Raw genomic sequence first — 19,606 nt, 5'->3', positions numbered from 1 at the left:
ATATGCACTACCATTCTCGACTAATGCACTACCATTCTTGACTAATTATTATTATTTTTATTTTTAGGAGAGATGGGGTTTCACCATGATGTCCAGGCTGGTCTCGAACTCCTGGGCTCAAGTGATCCTCCTGCCTAGGCCTCTCAAAGTGCTGGGATTATAGGTATGAGTCACTGTGCCTGGTATTTATTAAAGCATAAAAAACAGACTATACATTCTTTATTAGAATTCTGCTTTTCTGAGAAATATGTAGCAGCTATCACCGTTGTGTATGGAACTTGTGTATTTCTGTAATATTTCACAGTTGAAGGGAAACCCCAAAATCCCATTTCTCAGAACTCTAACCCAGTTTCCCAGTGGGGACAAGAGTGGGAATGGGCTTCTCCATTGTGGCTGGAAAGCAATGCCTTCCTTTGTCTGTGTTTCAACTTCAGCTTAACTAAGCCACAGCACAGCTAGTGAAGGGGAGCCTGCCAGGTAGACAATCAGAGGAAAGGGGCCCACAGAACAGTGGAGAGATTTGGGGTTCCTTTTGATGGAACAGAGAATATTTCAAGCTGCTTTTGAACTGAGACTTTAAAAAATTGTTTTGTCTGTTTTGGCCTGGGGCTACATACTTGAAATGATAAAAGCAGTTCTTTCAACTCAACTTTAAATCACAGAGTTCCCACAGCTAGTGTCAACATGCAGAGCGCAATGGCTCTAGACAAGGGGTGGGCGCTGGGGCTGGGGACCATGAAGTGTTGCAGTTATTACCAGACAAGTGGAAACAGAAGATTCTGTGTCCAGTCCAGGTCCGCTTTCCCCATCCCTTGCTATGCATTTGGCTGATTTCCCCTCACTTTTTCTAGTTTTTCCATGTTAGCTGGATTTAGCAACTGCTGTTTTGGCCGTAATCAGAGATCAAGTGTGGTATAATTATTCTAACATCACAAGGTACAGTTTTGTTTCCAGGGCCGACATTTTAAAACCTTTGTTGCTTGCTCAGTGCCAACATCACCAGAGCACTTCCTCCAGAGTGTGCAAAGGAAATCAGGCCCAGAGCAACACCGTAAATCAGGTTTTCGTGAAGCCTGGCCCTCCCAAAGGCAAATCAACGTTTAGGACTCCCTGAGGAATGGCAGCACAGACTTTTCCATCACTCTAAATCAAACACTTCAGTGCATATCACCTCTGCCTAAAGGAAGAATGGGTTGTCCGGGAACAAGTCATACATGTGGTAAAAGTTAACAATAATCCTCCCTGTTTCTTCTGTCTAGGCCTAGAGACAGGCCAGATAGATGTACCCCGTATGCGGTGGGTCACCAAGGTGGAGGGCAAGATCATCTTTGGCTAAGAATTTTATGAGCATTACTTAAAACACAATTGAACGTTCCCTATTTCCCCTCCCCTGCACTCCCCCGCTGCCCCGCCCAAGAAAGAGAAGAAATGGAAAGGTACTAATTTTAGTTAATAGGCCAAATATTTATATAGAACAGTCATCATGACTTCTGACTAATCCTTACAACCTGGGGATGTTCTCAGGGATGACTTGGATTGGGCTATAATACAAACACCCAAGGAAGCATTTCCTACAGGACACAAAATTATGTCAGCAACATTTACAACATACTTTATAAAGTACAGGCTATTTCATCGGCACCTCTGAAAAGCCCTAAAAGGTATCATTGTGTCCATTTTACAGATGAGAAAACAGGGCTGAGAGAGGAAAAGCAAGTGGCTTGAGGTCATGCGGCTGGTAGGTGGCGGGCTGGGACCTGACCTCAGATACGTTTGTTCTAGATCCAGAGCTATCTACTAATTTGTGAAAGGAAGCCTTCAGACACTAAATCAAAACAGCATGCATGTTCACAGTCTGTACCACAAGCTCAGAGCAGTCTAGGCCTGGGGTGGGCATTTGACAGGCGATTTTGAAGGTTACGATTTACTTGAATTTACTGTTCACAGTCATATGAAATTACCCACTGAAAGCTTTGGGTAGACCATTTTGGTATAAATGACCTCTAGAATTTTAGTCTAAATTCTATGAATAATTATGTCTGCTGCCTTGGGGCACGATTCCTTCTGGTTCAAGCCCCTCCCAGCTCTGTCCAGCTTCTTACAGGAGTGTCTCAGTGGCCTTGCCTAAGTCCTGGTGACTAACTCAGCCGACCTGCAGAACTGTGCACAGTATGAGGCTCATCCGCTCATCTCACTAATAAATCGTGAGCTTATTCCGGAATTCCCCAGTGTCCCCTAGCAAGCCCAGAATCATCTCCAAATTACTGTAAACCCACCTATAGTTAGCAGAAAGGAATGAAGGCACAAAAGGTGGGCAGTTCTAAAAATACATGATTCTCCCCAGCTTCAGGGTGTCAGAGTTCCCTGATACTCCATCAACATGATCTGCCAGCCTCTGCGTGGTGACTTACCTCTTCCACAGGGCTGTTCCCAAGTAGGGCACAGCTAGCTGAAAGGAGGTGAATGCACTTGGAAGGCATACAATTCTCCTCCCAAGAATAACCTTGTAATGCTTGGGTTAAGGGCTTGAGTTCTAGGGATAGACAGATCTGAAACGGAACCCTGGCTTGGTCACTTATTAGCTGATAACCTAGGGGCAAGTCCCTTAATACTCTATGGCCCTTAGTGTCCCTTTCTACAAAATGCAGATAACAATGGTAGCTACGTCAGGACTGCAGTGAGGACCAACGGCATAAAGAGTTGAGTGCCATACCAGTAGGCTTTATCTACTTTGTTATTGTTGTCGGCAGCGGCGGCAGTCTAGAGTCATTCCATGTCAGGAAAATTCCCCACAAAACTTCCTGGGCTGGGGCCGGGCGTGGTGGCTCACACCTGTAATCCCAGCACTTTGGGAAGCTGAGGCAGGCGGATCACAAGGTCAGGAGATCGAGACCATCCTGGCTAACACAGTGAAACCCCGTCTCTACTAAAAATACAAAAAATTAGCCAGGCGTGGTGGCAGGCGCCTGTAATCCCAGCTACTCGGGAGGCTGAGGCAGAAGAATGGCGTGAACCCAGGAGGTGGAACTTGCAGTGAGCCAATATCGCGCCACTGTGCTCCAGCCTGGGTGACAGAGCGAGACTCCGTCTTAAAAAAAAAAAAACAAAAAAACCCTTCCTGGGCTGGCCAGGCCATGCTGCTCCCACGGCAGCCCTGGCAGCAGACCAGGGGCAGATCCCTTGCTTGGCTTGCTCCTTCCCCGTGCCCTGCTGTGCGATGCGCCTTTTCCCCAGTCTAAAACGTCACCTCTTTTTCTCCACCACCACATACCCCTCCCTCATCTTTGGGTTTATGAGTCCAGGTGAGGTCACCCTCTGTGACTCTTAGCCACCCTTTCCTGTGCCGGTCCCAGTCACACTCTGCTTTCCCCTGGTCTTTGTCAGCATCTAGCACGTATGGCCAGCGTTCTTAGGCCCCTGTGCTCCTGTGGCACTGGCCTTCTCAACTCATGGCTGCCTATGGCAACCAATGGCTGCCTAGGGCTCTACTGATCTGAAATGCTGCACATGTATTATCTCATGATCTGTCATCTGTTGGAACTATGTCTCAGCATTGCTGCGAGACAGGCATTTTTACCATGTTCCCCATATCATGGAAGGGGAAACTGGGAACCCAATGGTCTACAGCTGTCCACTCTGCTATTCTCCCTCTCAAGCTCCTGCGTGGGGCCTGGAGCAACTACTACTCCCCTGATGCTAATAGGCAGCCTTAAGTGCAAGGAAATGCTCACTTGTTTGCAGAATGTTGGCCCCATGGAGAAGACTCACAACCAACTGTGCCTACTTCTCAGGGAAGAATGCTGGCGGGTGAGGTGTGGGGTGGCTCCTACTAAATGCTGACTTTTTCTTTATTATTATTAAATGCTGACATAATGAAGAAAGAGAAATCACTTCCCAAACACATTGCCAGTTACTGACAAGCCAAGGCCCAGATCCACAGAATGACTGTGAGACCAAGCTTGTCAGGTGGCCATAATGGCTGCTGTGAGGTACAGGGCGAGCTCAGAAGTGTAGAATGTGTGTGCTGAGGCCCTGCTTTCACCCACACTTGTTGTTTGCTGTGGGGCCATTTCCTCTGCTGCCTGTGTGTGTGTTCCTCCAGGGCCAGCACGGCATCTTCCTCATCCCCATGTCCCCAGCCCATCCGGTATGGTGCCTGGCACGGCAGCCACCATCAGTAGCCATAATAGCTACTGGTTAGCACACACTCGCTGCTGAGCTATAAGCAGAATTATAGCTCTTTAATCCTCAAAATATCCCTCAAAATAGGAGGGAAGTAGATGTATCAGCTCCACTTGTTTACTGAGTGAATAAACTAATGGAAGAGAATGGCCTTTCGGACATTTGAGTTCTCTAACACTGCTGGGAAAGTTTTAATAAACCAGGGCTTGCCACTCATGGTAGAGGAGCATATCGAGGTGTGGAGCATGAGCTGGGGTCTGCCTAAGTGGGTTCGAATCCTGGCTCTGCCATCTTTTAGCTGTGTGACTCTGGGTGGGTTTACTGACATTCTCTGAGCCTCAGTTTCCTTGTCTCACAAGACCTTGGTGAAAATTAAACAAATTCATGTGCAAAAGTCTCAAACACACAGCTGCCATCTGGGGGATGGGACGGGATCTCTCCTTCCCTCACTCCTGCAACATCAGCACAGCCTTGAGCTGTATGAAGGTGGCCCCAAAGCTATTTCCGTGGTAAGATCCCAAAAAATCTGTCATTATCTGCAAGTGGGGAGGGGAAGGAGGAAGTGAAGATGATTTGGTTTGAAACAAAAGATGCTTAAGGTAGTATAAAAACTCCTCTCGGCTGGGCATGGTGGCTCACGCCTGTAATCCCAGCACTTTGGGAGGCCGAGGTGGGCGGATCACAAGGTCAGGAGATCGAGATTATCCTGGATAACACTGTGAAACCCCGTCTCTACTAAAAATGCAAAAAAAATTAGCCGGGCGCGGTGACGGGCGCCTGTGGTCCCAGCTACTCGGGAGGCTGAGGCAGGAGAATGGCGTGAATCTGGGAGGGGGAGCTTGCAGTGAGCCAAGATCGCCCCACTGCACTCCAGCCTGGGCGACAGAGAGAGACTCCGTCTCAAAAAAAAAAAAAAAAAAAAAAAAAAAAAAAAAAAAAACTCCTCTCACTGCCTGCCTTTCATGATGACAGCAAATAATATGATGAAAGCAAGACAGCTTGTTCCCAATTTACCCCTCCGCACTGAGAAAGAAAGAGTCAGCCACTGGTGCTTCTCAAGTCAATCCCAAGAATAGCATCAAAACAAAATCTGAGTAAGATTCACCATCCAGAAATACTGCGTCAAGGAAACACAGTCTGAAATAATTACCTTCGCCTATTTATTTCCTCATCATTAAAATGGGGATTATGATAGTACCCAAGTTCCTTACATGAAACAATATAATGGTTAGTTTTTCTTAGTTTCAGGAAACTCATTGGTATAAACATGGAAATTTATTCCTTTTGCTGGTTAAAAAAAAATTGTTTTTTAAAGATAAAGTCAGCTTTAGAGGCCACAATATTTTCAAATAATAACAGCTCACTGGGCAGGGGATTTGCACTCTGGAAAATTTGGCAAGTTGGTGTTTCAGCATTAAAATTTGGGGAAAAAAATGTTTGAAGATCAATGAAAAATAGCACTGGACTCTATATTTACTTATATAAGATTTTTTTTTTAAATCTTGATGAAAATTTTTATTAGGCTAGAATTGCAGAGCTGCAAGAGAATTCTGAGATCAACAGGTCTTTTTCCTTCATTTACCAGCTGAGAAACTTGGGGTCATAGGAGATTAAGATTGTTTATCTTACCAGTTGAATTCAATACTTTCAGAAATAATTGTTAGAATTCAGTGAAAGTTATTCTCTTAAAAGTACACTGCTTTTCAGCTCCTATCAAGTGTTTCCCTATGCTTCCACAATCCTGATTATCAATTTGGGTATGGGCCACTCTGGGAAAGGCTGTCAAATGTTTATTCTAGAATCCAGCAACTCCCAGATGTCCATCTCCATCTCAGGTTCTGGTCAAAGTCTGATGTAGCAAAGAAACAGAGTAACAAAGAGTGATCTGCACTAAGATTGTTTTGTCTCAGGTTTTTTTTTTCTTTTTTTTTTTTGAGAGGGTGTCTCGCTCTGTTGACAGGCTGGAGTACAGTAGCACGATCTCAGGCCACTGCAACCTCTACCTTCTGGGTTCAAGAGATTCTCCTGCCTCAGCCTCCCAAGTAGCTGGGACTATAGGCGCATGCCACCACGCCCAGCTAATTTTTGTATTTTTAGTAGAGACAGGGTTTCACCATTGTTGGCCAAGCTGGTCTCGATCTCTTTGACCTTGTGATCCACCCACCTTGGCCTCCCAAAGTCCTGGGATTACAGGCGTGAGCCACTGTGCCCAGCCTCGGCTCAGGTTTTTCAATACAGTCTTGACCTTGGCATTCAGTATCCTCACAGCATGGTTCTAATTAACTTTCTAGCTCTATTTCCCTTTTCCTGCTCCCTCTCTCTACAACTAGTCTTTCTCTGATTGCCCCGCCCTCAACCCATCTAAACTAGACCCCAGGGAAGCACCTTGGTCCCCTTCCTCTCTCCCACTCACCATCCAACCAATCACCAGAGCCTGTACATTCTATATTTTCAACATCGATTCAATTGTCTACTTCTTTCTAGCCTGCCCTCTCTGACTGGGACTCCTTGAGCCAGCCTGATCACCCCAATCCATCCCTCACACTGTGCCCATCTTTCTGAAGTAGGAATCTGATCACACCACCCTGCTAAAAACACTCTGGTTCTCCCCACGGCATGTGGTGCCCTTGTATAGCTGGCAAAGCCTTGCATGGCACGGCCCCAGCCTGTGCTTCAACTCAATTGCCCGACTCTCTCCAGCTCTGCTGAGCCACCTAAGTCACAGATGGTTTCTCCTCTCATCTCTGCTCTCTTCCATGTGCCATTTCTGTGGCTTGGAATGTTCTTCCCTCATTCTCTTTCTGGCCCTTTCCCGTCACACCTTAGACGTGCATCTTCCTCTCGAAAACCTCTAGTGAAGCCTCCCAGGGCCAGGCAGTACCCTCCTCTGGCTTCTTCTGGATACAGAGGAAGAATCTGAGCATCGATTCTCCATCTCAGCAGGCCTCTGTGTGCCTGCTGACTCCGACTAGACCAGAGATCCGTAAGGACAGGGATCGAGTTTTTTTTCTTTTAATTCACTGCCTCAAAAATCCTCTGTGCATTACCTATTCATCCTCTTCTCTCCCTTAACCTGAACCAGTGATCTTACTGTCTCCATCATTGTTTTTTTCTTTTCTTTTCTTTTCTTTTTTTTTTTTGAGGTGGAGTCTGGCTCTTCACCCAGGCTGGAGTGCAGTGATGCGATCTCGACTCACTGCAACCTCCATCTCCTGGGTTCAAGCGATTCTCCTGCCTCAGCCTCCCCAGTAGCTGGGATTACAGGCATGCGCTACCATCCCCAACTAATTTTTGCCTCCATAATTTTGCCTTTTCTAGAATGTCATACAGGTGGAATTACTCAGTATGCTGCCTTTTTCAGATTGGCTTCTTTCACTTAGTAATATGTTTGTTTTTTGAGACAGGGTCTTGCTCTGTCGCCCAGGCTAGAGTGTGGTGGTGCGATCTTAGCTCACTGAAACCTCCACCTCCCAGGTTCAAGTGACTCTCCTGCCTCAGCCTCCCGAGTAGCTGGGACTACAGGCACGTGCCACCATACCCGGCTAATTTGTGGATTTTTAGTACAGACGGGGTTTCATCATGTTGGCCAGGGTGTTGTTGAATTCCTGACCTCAAGTGATCCACCTGCCTCAGCCTCCCAAAGTGTTGCGATTACAGGTGTGAGCCACTGCGCCAAGCCTCATTTAGTAATATGCATTTAAACTTTCTCCATGTCTTTAATGGCTTGATAGCTCATTTATTTTTATCATGGAATATTTCATTGTCTGGATGGACCACAGTTTATTTCTCCATTCACCTACTGAAGGACATCTCGGTTGCTTCTAAGTTTTGGCAATTATGAATAAAGCTGCTATAACCATCAAGTGCAGGTTTTTGTGTGGACCTATTATCAACTAATTCGGGTAAATCTCAAGGAGTGCAATTGCTGGATCACACAGTAAGAGTGTGTTTAGTTTTAAGTGGCTGTGCCATTTTGCATTCCCACCAGCAATGAATGAGAGTTTCTGTTGCTCCACATTCTCACTACCATTCGGTGTTGTCAGTGTTTTGCATTTTGGCCATTCTAGTAGGTGTTTACATGGTATCTAGTCATTTGAATGGGCATATGATGTGGAACATCTTTTTTTTTTTAATTTTATTATTATTATACTTTAAGTTTTAGGGTACATGTGCACAACGTGCAGGTTTGTTACATATGTATACATGTGCCATGTTGGTGTGCTGCACCCATTAACTAGTCATTTAGCATTAGGTATATCTCCTAATGCTATTGGAACATCTTTTCATGTGTTTATTTGCCATCTGTATATCTTCCCTGATGAGTTGGGGATGCATTCTTTCCATCTCAGAGTCCCCAGAAACTAACATAGCAGTTGGTACAGAGTTGGTGCTCAACAAACATCAGCTTAGGAACTATGTCCTATGTTTTTTTGTTTTTTTTTTTTTTTAAAAAGGAATGTGAGCTGTTCCCAAAACGTATGTCCTTCCCCCATGCCTCTACCCTGCCCTTCCACAAACTTTCTGATCTTCAGCACACACTACCCAACCATCAAGGCTGAGACTTCCCGTGGCCAGCAGTGTCTCATGCTGGCTTCAAGCCCCACAGCACTGCTTTTTTCAACTTCTCTTGTGGTTTAGACTGTCTTTAGCCCAGCAAGAGAATTCATTGTCTTATCCCCCATTAAACTGTACCTACACTCTTTGAGGAAAAGGGTCCATCTTACTTAAAATATTTTAAAAATTCACATGTGATAAAACTGATGTGTATGTGTATGAGAGAGAGAGAAAGAGAGAACAGTTCTATGAGGCTTAATGTATACATGTGGCCGTGCAGCCCACTGCCCCATGTCACCATTTTCAATTCTGTCATTACCCCTGGGACAATGTCTTGTCAATATACACTTGAGGCTGGGCGGGGTGGTTCCTGCCTGTAATCCCACCTGTAATCAGGAGTTCAAGACCAGCCTGGCCAACACAGCAAAACCCCGTCTCTACTAAAAATACAAAAATTTGCTGGGCGTGGTGGCACGGGCCTGTAATCCCAGCTACTCAGGTGGCTGAGGCAGGACAATCGCTTGAACCGGGGAGGTGGAGGTTGCAGTGAGCCAAGATCGTGCCACTGCACTCCAGCCTAGGCAACAGAGCGAGACTCTGTCTCAAAAATACATACATACACACACACGCGCAAGAGACACAGTGAGTAGAAACACCGACACCACCTCTCAGTTGAGACATGAACACACTGAAAAGTGGCTAAGTGTTATAGTGTCCCTTTTCTTGAATTAAAACTAAAATTCAACTTCTATCAGATCTTCTCAGGAACGAAGCATTTTAAAACCTAGGCCAGGCGCGGTGGCTCATGCCTGTAATCCCAGCACTTTGGTAGGCTGAGGAGGGCAGATCACCAGGTAAGGAGGTCGAGACTAGCCTGACCAACATGGTGAAACCCTGTCTCTACTAAAAACACAAAATTTAGCTGGGTGTGGTGGTGCGCACCTGTAATCCCAGCTACTCAGGAAGCTGAGGCAGGAGAATCACTTGAACCTGGTAGGTGGAGGTTGCAGTGAGCTGAGATCATGCCACTGCACTCCAGCCTGGGTGACAGAGCGAGACTCTCTCTCCAAAAAAAAAAAAAAAAACCTAGACCAGATGCACTTGGCAACTTGGCAGTTTCTCCTGCGTGGAACATACTTCTCTTTCTTTTCTCCTTGTGGTTAGCACTGTGCTGTGCCAGGGGATTGATTAATTTGTACCTGCCAGAGGCTCTGAAAAGTGGAGCTATGTAAGTATGCTATGCATATCAGGCCACTGTCAACAACAGAAACAGAAATGCAGCAAGCACTTTCTGAGCTTTGGTCATCTCAACAGCTAGTGGCTTACCCGGCAGAATCACCATAGAGCTGGCTAGCGCCATGCACTGACTATGACTAACATAGTGCATGGGGTGGCTGAGGGTGGGTAAAAAGACTGGGCGGTATTTCCTGGAACAGGAAGCCACATCTCATGTCTCCCTCTCCCGGTGGGAAAATCACCAGAGTTCCTTCTGCAGAGGGGAATGAGTCCTAAGCACAGGAAACTGCCTGCTGATCTGAAAAGGGAAGGTCAGATGGGCATCCCAAGAAAATGAATTGCAAACGCCCATCTTCAAAGTTAATTATGCTTCTCTTGCAAATCCTGATTATGGGAAGGAAAACAGTTTGCTTAGTAGATGAGAACATGGGTCTAAAAGTCACACTGGCCAGATTCCAATCTTGACTCAACCACTTTCCTTCGTTTGTCATCCTGGGCCACTTACTTCATCTTTTTGAGCCTGACTTTCCTTACCTATAAAAGAGCGGTGTTAATATTTTCAAGGGTATTTATCAGGATTAGATGAGACAGTCATGTGTTAAACTAAACACAGTGGCTGAGACCTTGTCTCTACTAAAAAACCAAAAAAAAATTAGCTTGGCATAGTGGCACATGAGTAGCTGTAGTTCTTCTAGCTACTTGGGAGGCTGAGGTGAGAGGACTGCTTGAGCGTGGGAGATCAAGACTGCATAGTGGTGACACAGCAAGATGCTGCCTCAAAAAAAGAAACCCAGTGCCTGGTACACAGTAGATGTTCATAAGACAGCAGCTACGATATTCTTGCTGTTGTTATGCTCTCTACGTTTCATAAAGCACTCCAAGTGAGAGGTGACAGCATGCTGGCAGCCCTCGCAGCCCTCGCTCACTCTCAGCGCCTCCTCTGCCTGGGCTCCCACTTTGGCGGCACTTGAGGGGCCCTTCAGCCCACTGCTGCACTGTGGGAGCCCCTTTCTGGGCTGGCCAAGGTTGGAGCTGGCTCCCTCAGCTTGCAGGGAGGTGTGGAGGGAGAGGCGGGAGCAGGAACTGGGGCTGCACGCCACACTTGTGGGCCAGCTGGAGTTCCGGGTGGGCGTGGGCTTGGCAGGCCCCGCACTGGGAGCGGCCGGCTGGCCCTGCCAGCCCCAGGCAATGAGGGGCTTAGCACCCAGGCCAGCGGCTGCAGAGGGTGCGCTGGGTCCCCCAGCAGTGCTGGCCCACTGGTGCTGCGCTCAATTTCTCCCTGGGCCTTAGCTGCCTCCCCGCGGGGCAGGGCTCAGGACCTGCAGCCCACCATGCCTGAGCCTCTGCCTCCCGTGGGCTCCTGTGCAGCCCGAGCCTCCCCAACGAGCACCGCCCCCTGCTCCACGGCGCCCAGTCTCATCCACCACCCAAGGGCTGAGGAGTGCAGACGCACGGCGCAGGACTGGCAGGCAGCTCCACCTGCAGCCCCGGTGCGGGATCCACTGGGTGAAGCCAGCTGGGCTCCTGAGTCTGGTGGGGACTTGGAGAACCTTTATGTCTAGCTAGGGGATTGTAAATACACCAATCGGCACTCTGTATCTAGCTCAAGGTTTGTAAACACACCAATCAGCACCCTGTGTCTAGCTCAGGATTTGGGAATGCACCAATTGACACTCTGTATCTAGCTACTCTGGTGGGGACTTGGAGAACCTTTGTGTCCACACTCTGTATCTAGCTAATCTAGTGGGGACTTGGAGAACTTTTGTGTCTAGCTCAGGGATTGTAAACGCACCAATCAGCTCTCTGTAAAATGGACCAATCAGCTCTCTGTAAAATGGACCAATCAGCAGGATGTGGGTGGGGCCAGGTAAGAGAATAAAAGCAGGCTGCCCGAGCCAGCAATGGCAACCCGCTCAGGTCCCCTTCCACACTATGGAAGCTTTGTTCTTTAGCTCTTTGCAATAAATCTTGCTACTGCTCACTCTTTGGGTCCACACTGCTTTTATGAGCTGTAACACTCACCGTGAAGGTCTGCAGCTTCACTCCTGAAGCCAGCGAGACCACGAACCCACCAGGAGGAACAAATAACTCCAGACGTGCCGCTTTAAGAACTGTTAACACTCACTGCGACGGTCCATGGCTTCATTCTTGAAGTCAGTGAGACCAAGAACCCACCAATTCTGTACACACAAGTACTAATACATTACCTCATTTGATTTCAGAGTTAATCTGAGATGGAACATTAATCCTGTGCAATGACAGAACCAAAGCTCAGAGAGTGGATGTACTGCTGACCTGGTTTTTGGGTTCCCTTGGCCAAGCTGCAGCACCAGGCTCTGGAGCCCTTGACCCAGAGGTGGAACTCGGAGCCTGACAACAGTTTCTTCTACTTCCAGTACTTGGTTCAGGAAGTGAGAAAGGGCCTGGCCCTCAGGGCTGGCCGAAGGAGGGGAGAGGGGTGTGGGGGACCTCTGGGAGGTAGGCTAGTTGGAAAGTTAAGGAGACTCAAGGTCACTGGGTGGGTGAAGCTGAGAGGTGACAGCATGCTGGCAGTCCTCAGAGCCCTCGCTTGCTCTTGGCACCTCCCCTGCCTGGGCTCCCACTTTGGTGGCATTTGAGGAGCCCTTCAGCCCCCCACTGCACTGTGGGAGCCCCTTTCTGGGCTGGCCAAGGCTGGAGCCCACTCCCTCAGCTTGCAGGGAGGTGTGGAGGGAGAGGCACGAGCGGGAACCAGGGCTGCATGCGGCGCTTGCAGGCCAGCTGGAGTTCTGGGTGGGTGTGGGCTTGGTGGGCCCCGCATTCGGAGCAGCCAGCCAGCCCTGCTGGCCCCAGGCAGTGGGGGACTTAGCACCTGGGCCAGTGGCTGCGGAGGGTGTACTGAGTACCCCAGCAGTACCAGCCCACCGGTGCTGTGCTCGATTTCTCGCTGGGCCTTAGCTGCCTTCCCTCGGGGCAGGGCTCAGGACCTGCAGCCCACCATGCCTGAGCCTCCCACCCCCGCCATGGGCTCCTGTGCGGCCGGAGCCTCCCCGACGAGCACCACCCCCTGCTCACGGCGCCCAGTCCCATCGACCGCCCAAGGGCTGAGGAGTGTGAGCGCACAGTACGGGACTGGCAGGCAGCTCCACCTGCAGCCCCAGTGCAGGATCCACTAGGTGAAGCCAGCTGGGCTCCTGAGTCTGGTGGGGACATGGAGAGTCTTTATATCTAGCTCAGGGATTACAAATACACCAATCAGCACCCTGTGTTTAGCTCAAGGTTTGTGAATGCACCAGTCGACACTCTGTATCTAGCTGCTCTGGTGGGGCCTTGGAGAACCTGTGTGTCGAAACTCTGTATCTAACTAATATGATGGGAACATGGAGAACCTTTGTATCTAGCTCAGGGATTGTAAACGCACCAATCAGCGCCCTGACAAAACAGGCCACTCGGCTCTACCAATCAGCAGGATGTGGGTGGGGCCAGATAAGAGAATAAAAGCAGGCTGCCTGAGCCAGCATTGGCAACCCGCTCAGGTCCCCTTCCACGCTGTGGAAGCTTTGTTCTTTTGCTCTTTGCAATAAATCTTGCTACTGCTCACTCTTTGGGTCCACGCTGCTTTTATGAGCTGTAACACTCACCGCGAAGGTCTGCAGCTTCACTCCCGAGCCAGCGAGACCACGAACCCACCAGAAGGAAGAAACTCCGAACACATCTGAACATCAGAAGGGACAGACTCCAGACGCGCCACCTTAAGAGCTGTAACACTCACCGCGAGGGTCCGCGGCTTCATTCTTGAAGTCAGTGAGACCAAGAACCCACCAATTCCGGACACAAAGCCACAGACTCTGGCAAATTATCCAGGGGCACCAAGGCTCCAAATGGCACATTGCTGACCAGTGTAAACATTTATCTTTTAAGCTATCGATTCTACCCCAAGCCTGGAAGTCTGACTGCCAAGAACAGTATGGCCAAAAACACTAGGTGAAAAAGAAAACAGAATCCATTTTTGTTTCATGTTGAGAATGTGCTGTTTTGCAGCATGAAGCCCTGGGAAGAGGATGTAAAGAAAGGACAGTCCTCCAAGGCGAGCCTCTCCCAGCTGACAGCCTGCTTTTACTGTGCTGGATGTGGGCGGCGAGTTGCACAAAGAGCGAGGGGACAGCTTTGGAGATGGGGGGTTGAGGGGGTCAGGACATCCTCCCTGAAGGCCTGACCAGACAAGGCAGCATCTGTATCACTGGGATGGGGGAGGGGGTGGGGAGAAAGAAGACCTCGAATGAGGCCCTTTGGTTCAGTAGCAGTAACTCAGATTTTTTTTTTTTTTTAAACTGGGGCAGGGACAAACTTACAAAGACAAATAAGAGGTAATAACACAAATTATACATTCAAGTATGAATGCAAGGAATTGTTCTGCTTGAGAGCTGGTAGAGATCTATTTCAGGACAGGCAGCCGACTCCTGAGTGCAGGTGGCCTGATGGGCGGGGAAGGTGCCATTCTTGGGCCGGATGAAAGAAAGATGATCCTGAAAGGGGGTAAAGATATATGATTTCAGGCAACTCTGTGTCAGGCACGTACCTTCCTTCTAATTTCTGCAGACACCAGCTGGCTGGGGGAGGGGCAGAAGATGGGCGGGCAGAATAAAGAAAGGATCTCCCTAGTCTTGGAGGAAAACAGGGGAAGCCAGAGGGAGGAAGTTGTTCTGGGTTCAAAGAAATCAACTTAGAAAGCTTCCCTGATAAAAATAGCCATTGGCAAATCCTAGTCTATTTATATCACCCATCCAAGATCACTATCAGGATCCTGGGCTGAATCACAAGACCCAGTAAATAAGTATGGAGCGCTGGCTGCCTGATTTATGGGAAGATATTTAAACACCACTGGAGCAACTGAGTCAGGGAAAATTTGAGTGCTGGCACCAAACGGTACATTTACAAGTGGCTCTCACTTTACAGAAATAGATAGGTTCCTGAAAAGTTGGCTATAAAATGAATTCAATTAACAGAATCATATTTTCCTAGTGAATCACATCTTAAAATTAGAGATAGATTGGGGGAGGGGTGGCCAAAAAAAACCAACCACACCAAACAACTGTGCCTCTGAGACTAAATAAAAATCACTCTTCATTCAGCAAACTCTAAAACGTCACTTACTTAAAAGGCCATTATAAACGCTCATAAAATACAAACAATTTGTCAGCAAACATGTCTATGTCTGTGACATACAAGGAGTTGCACCAGGCTTTGTGGAGGCTTATAAGACACAAGTGGCTGGCCATCAGGAGCTCACAATTTGGCACTTAAAAAAAAAAAAAACCACACTGAAATTCATGTTGCATCAGAAAAAAAACAGCTCCCTGGATGTAGACAAATGTGCATGCATGAGGGCCTGCCTGGCCCTTTAAGTGTTATCTGGGCCGGGAACAGCTCGGCTCCCTCCTGCCGGCAGCAGCCAACCAAGTTGGCCTCTAAGTACTGCTTTTCAAACTCTATGTTTATAAGCTAAAAGCTGTTGGCCATGTGGCGCTGCGTCATAATTGCTTATTTATTTAACTAACTTGGAAAGAAAAAAAACCAACCCATGACCTGGGTGTTTTAATAAAATAAGAAGAGTTAAGGTACTTAAAGCTCTCTGAAAAGTTAAAGGCCTGCACAACCCAAGGGGGTTGTTATTTTAAAGTTTAAAGGGCATTTGCTCAAGGGATCTGTTTGTTTGGAAAAAGTCTGTCTCCTTCTACTTATGCTCTCTTGCACATAGAATATTGGTCATTGGTAACAGGAGCAGAGATCTAATTTGTTATTAATTTGTTATTAGTTTTGTAAGTGCAGATCACGTTGTACCGAGTTTGCTTTAAGCAAGAGACAAACACACTTCAGAAGCCAACACTTGTGAAGTGTTGGCTCTGTCAGCAACTACAGGCACAGAACTGAGGATTATTAGTTCAAAATAGGCTACATAGGGCTGTGCATGGTAGCTGACACCTGTAATCTCAGCGCTTTGGGAAAGCAAGATAGGAGGATCACTTGAGCCCAAGAGTTGGAGACCAGCCTGGGCAAGATGGTGAGACACTGTCTCTATTACAAGAAAATAATAATAATATTAGCAGGCATGGTGGTACACCAGCTACTTCGGAAGCTGAAGCAGGAGGATCACCTGAGCCCAGGAATTTGTGGTAGGCAGTGAGCTATGATCAGGCCACTGCATTCCAGCCTGGGCCACAGAGCAAGACTCTGTCTCTTATTTAAAAAATAAAGCTATATCCCTTAGACCAAGCTTGTCTAACGCATGTGGCCCAGGATGGCTTTGAATGCAGCCCAACACAAATTTGTAAACTTTCTTAAAACAGTATGAATTTTTTCTTTTTTTTTTTTTTTAAGCTCATCAGCTATCGTTAGTGTATTTTATGTGCGGCCCAAGGTAATTATTCTTCCAACGTGGCTCAGGGAAGCCAAAAGATTGGACACCCCCCCACCTTAGACACTGTGTGCCTCACGAACTGGCACCACCATAGGGGCCTGTCCATAGCTAGTAAGAGTGAAATGCTTCCTGTTGACATCTGCTGTAGACCTGAAGGTATACAAAGTGTCGGAGAGTAAACAGCACATTTTTGAAAAAACACTTTTGTTTTAATTCCATAGAGATGAGCCAAGCTGTGGTAGAGGCTGTTGTTTATCCTACTAGCCATTCTTCCCTTCTTCCTTTTACTGATGGAACTCTCCCAGTTTTGTTTTGTTTTTTGTTTTTTTGTTTTTTTTTTAATTACCAGCAAGGTTCAGGGTTGCCCAACTACAGACTGTGTTTCCCAGCATGCCTTACACCCCATGTGACTAATGTTGGCCAATGAGATGGGATGTGAGCAACTGCCAGGTCCAGTCCTTTAAGCAGGAAATGGTTGCCTTCCATTTCCTCTCTTCCTTCCCACATCTAGAGTGTGGACTTAAAATTGCTGGGCTAGCTTTAATAATTCCCAGCAGGGCTTCTTAACCCTGGGGTCCTCAGACCCTCAAGGAGTCCATGAATAGAATTCACTGGTCTTTAAATTTGGAAGGACAAACAAAAACAAAAACAAAAACAAAAAACACCCATAACTTTAGCATTTCCTTCACTTATAATGGAGGGAACAAACCACATTATTAGCAGTGTCCATGACTCTGTCAATAACAGAAATTATAGGTATTTTCATATCACATTATACTTATGGATTGTCTTGAAATATCACAAATACTCATCACTACTTTGGAATTACAAAAATAGCCTTTAGAATTGACACTAGATCATTATTTGATGTATTAATAAAGTACATATTACTATGTCATAAATTTTGGGTTTTTAAAATACTTTGATAATTGTATTTCAACATAATTAATTTCCTTTGTAACTCTGTGTTTTATTTTACACATTTAAACAAAATTTTTATTTATTTATTTTGAGATGGAGTCTCACTCTGTCTCCCAGGCTGGAGTGCAGTGGTGTGATCTTAGCTCACTGAAACTTCCGCCTCCTGGGTTCAAGCGATTCTCCTGCCTCAGCCTCCTGAGTAGCTGGCACTACAGGTGCGTGCCACCTCACCTGGCTAATTTTTGTATTTTTAGTAGAGGCGGGGTTTCACTATGTTGGGCCTGGCTGTTCTCAAACTCCTGATCTCAAGTGATCTGCCTGCCTCAGCCTCCCAAAGTGCTGGGATTACAGGCATGAGCCACTGCGCCCAGCCTGATTTTGCACATTTAAAAGCATTAGTCTGTGAAGTGGTCCCTAGCCTTTGTCACTCTGTAAAGTGATCCATGGCACAAAAAATGCTATGAATCCTTACCTAGGGAATGGCAGAGCAATAATATTTAGGGAACTCAGGCCTGTGGATGACCTTGTACAGCAGAGCACCCATCAAGTTCTAGACCACTCCTCTAGACCAGGGCTGCCCAACTAAACTTTCTGTGATGATGGAAGCATTTTTTTGCTTTGTTTTGTTTTCAGACAGAGTCTCGCTCTGCCACTCGGGCTGGAGTGCAGTGGCACAATCTCAGCTCACCACAACCTCTGCCTCCTGGGTTCAAGTGATTGTCCTGCCTCAGCCTCCTGAGTAGCTGGGATTACAGGCACCTGCCACCACTCCCAGCTAATTTTTGGGTTTTTTTTTTTTTTTTTTTTTTTTTTTTTTGTAGAGATGGGGTTTCACCATGTTGACCAGGCTGGTCTCAAACTCCTGACCTCAAGTGATCTGCCCACCTTGGCCTCCCAAAGTGCTGATACGCATAAGCACATAGGATGACCACACCCAACCAATGATGGAAATGTTTTATCTGTGCTGTCCAATACAGTAACCTCTAGCCAAGAGGCTACTAAGCACTTGAAATGCGGCCAGTGCAACTGAGGCAGTTAACTTTTTATTTTGCTCGAATTACATTTAAATAATCAAATGTGCTTAGTGGCCACCGCACTGGATGGTGCAGCTCTAGACTGTTACATGGAGAAACAAATTTCTACCATGTTTAAACTGTGATATTCTGGGGTCTATTATAGTACCTTAGCCTATACCTTAACTAATACACAAACGTACCTGGACTCAGTAATAATAAATGTACTAGGGAAAGAAGGCACATTTACAGAGAGACCAACTCAAAAAATACACAAACTCACTAACTGAAAGCAAGATTTATACAGAAATGTTCTATTTACAAAGCATTCCCATATATGAATACATGACTTTACGTGATACTCATAATGCCCCTGTGACTGTGACTGCCTTGATCTTGCTCTCAAAGGGGCTTAGTGACTTTACTAATCATGAAGATGGTGGAGCCAGGGGTCAATTCCAGATGTTACCACTGCACTGTGTACCTTTCAGCTCTCTGAATGCCTCCAGACAGAAGTGACAAGACTGCAAAAGACCAATGGCGAGCACTGACTAGCACTTAAGCCACGGAGCCTACTGATACTTTCATCCATCTGCCTCCAGGACACACAAACATCTGCCAAATCCTTTTTTTGGCCCTAGGGTTTAGGGACTTGCAGACACCTGAATTTCCCTAATTCTTGGCAAGGTTCCCATTTCCTGTGGTGTCACTGACTTGCAAGGACCCTTGAGGGCTGAGAGTGGTCTTTAGAAGACTCTTTTGCGGTCGGAGGTAAGGACTTGTAAAGGACGCTGCTTTTCAGCAAATTTTACTGCCAGGGTCATTTCAGTGACCTCTCATTTTCCTCTCTTTGAGATCAATTCAAAGAATAATGTTATGTTAAAACAATAACCAAAAATAGTAATAGGTTATAATTTTATCAGTAACAAAAGGTCCATGTCTTCAATTCTAAACAACACAGACACCAAGGGAGAAAAGCCCATATACTTAAGTGTGACTATATCCTACATCCCAAGCTTCCTTAGAGCCAGGATACACCTGGCTTACCGCTAGTCTTCTTTTCTCTACCTGCGCGAACACTCCTCCATTCCCTAGGCCTATAGAACTCCTACTCGTCCTTTAAAAACCCAGTCTGCCCATTCTCATAGCACTTTTGTTCTTTTTAAAACGTTTTCACTTGAGTAAAATTATGTATGAACATAGTTTAAAGAGCCAAATAATTCCAAGGCTTGTTATGAAAATTAACAGGCTCCCAGCTTCCATACTATACTCCGTAGAGACTTACCTGATACTTTTAGTTACC

At 46.7% G+C, this 19,606-nt stretch overlaps 1 protein-coding gene across 30 annotated transcripts in view; it reads right to left on the bottom strand.

Moving 5' to 3' along the window:
* ATG7 (autophagy related 7) overlaps nucleotides 1-19,606 on the bottom strand; it is a 303,957-nt gene that overhangs the window by 51,692 nt on the left and 232,659 nt on the right. For 14 of the 30 annotated variants that reach the window (XM_047447296.1, XM_011533277.4, XM_006712932.5 and 11 more), the window contains one exon: nucleotides 5,128-14,477. The exons of the other annotated variants lie outside the window; for them this stretch is intronic. In XM_047447296.1, coding sequence (XP_047303252.1) covers nucleotides 14,340-14,477 — 138 coding nt within the window. In that variant the 3' untranslated portion in view covers nucleotides 5,128-14,339. Of the gene's footprint in view, nucleotides 1-5,127; nucleotides 14,478-19,606 lie in introns of those variants that run through there. 30 annotated transcript variants of the gene reach the window in all.

This window comes from Homo sapiens, chromosome 3 (genome assembly GCF_000001405.40).
Source record: "Homo sapiens chromosome 3, GRCh38.p14 Primary Assembly".
NCBI lineage: Eukaryota > Metazoa > Chordata > Mammalia > Primates > Hominidae > Homo > Homo sapiens.
The sequence above is the reverse complement of the archived record's forward strand: the minus strand, read 5'-3'. Positions and strand labels throughout refer to the sequence as shown.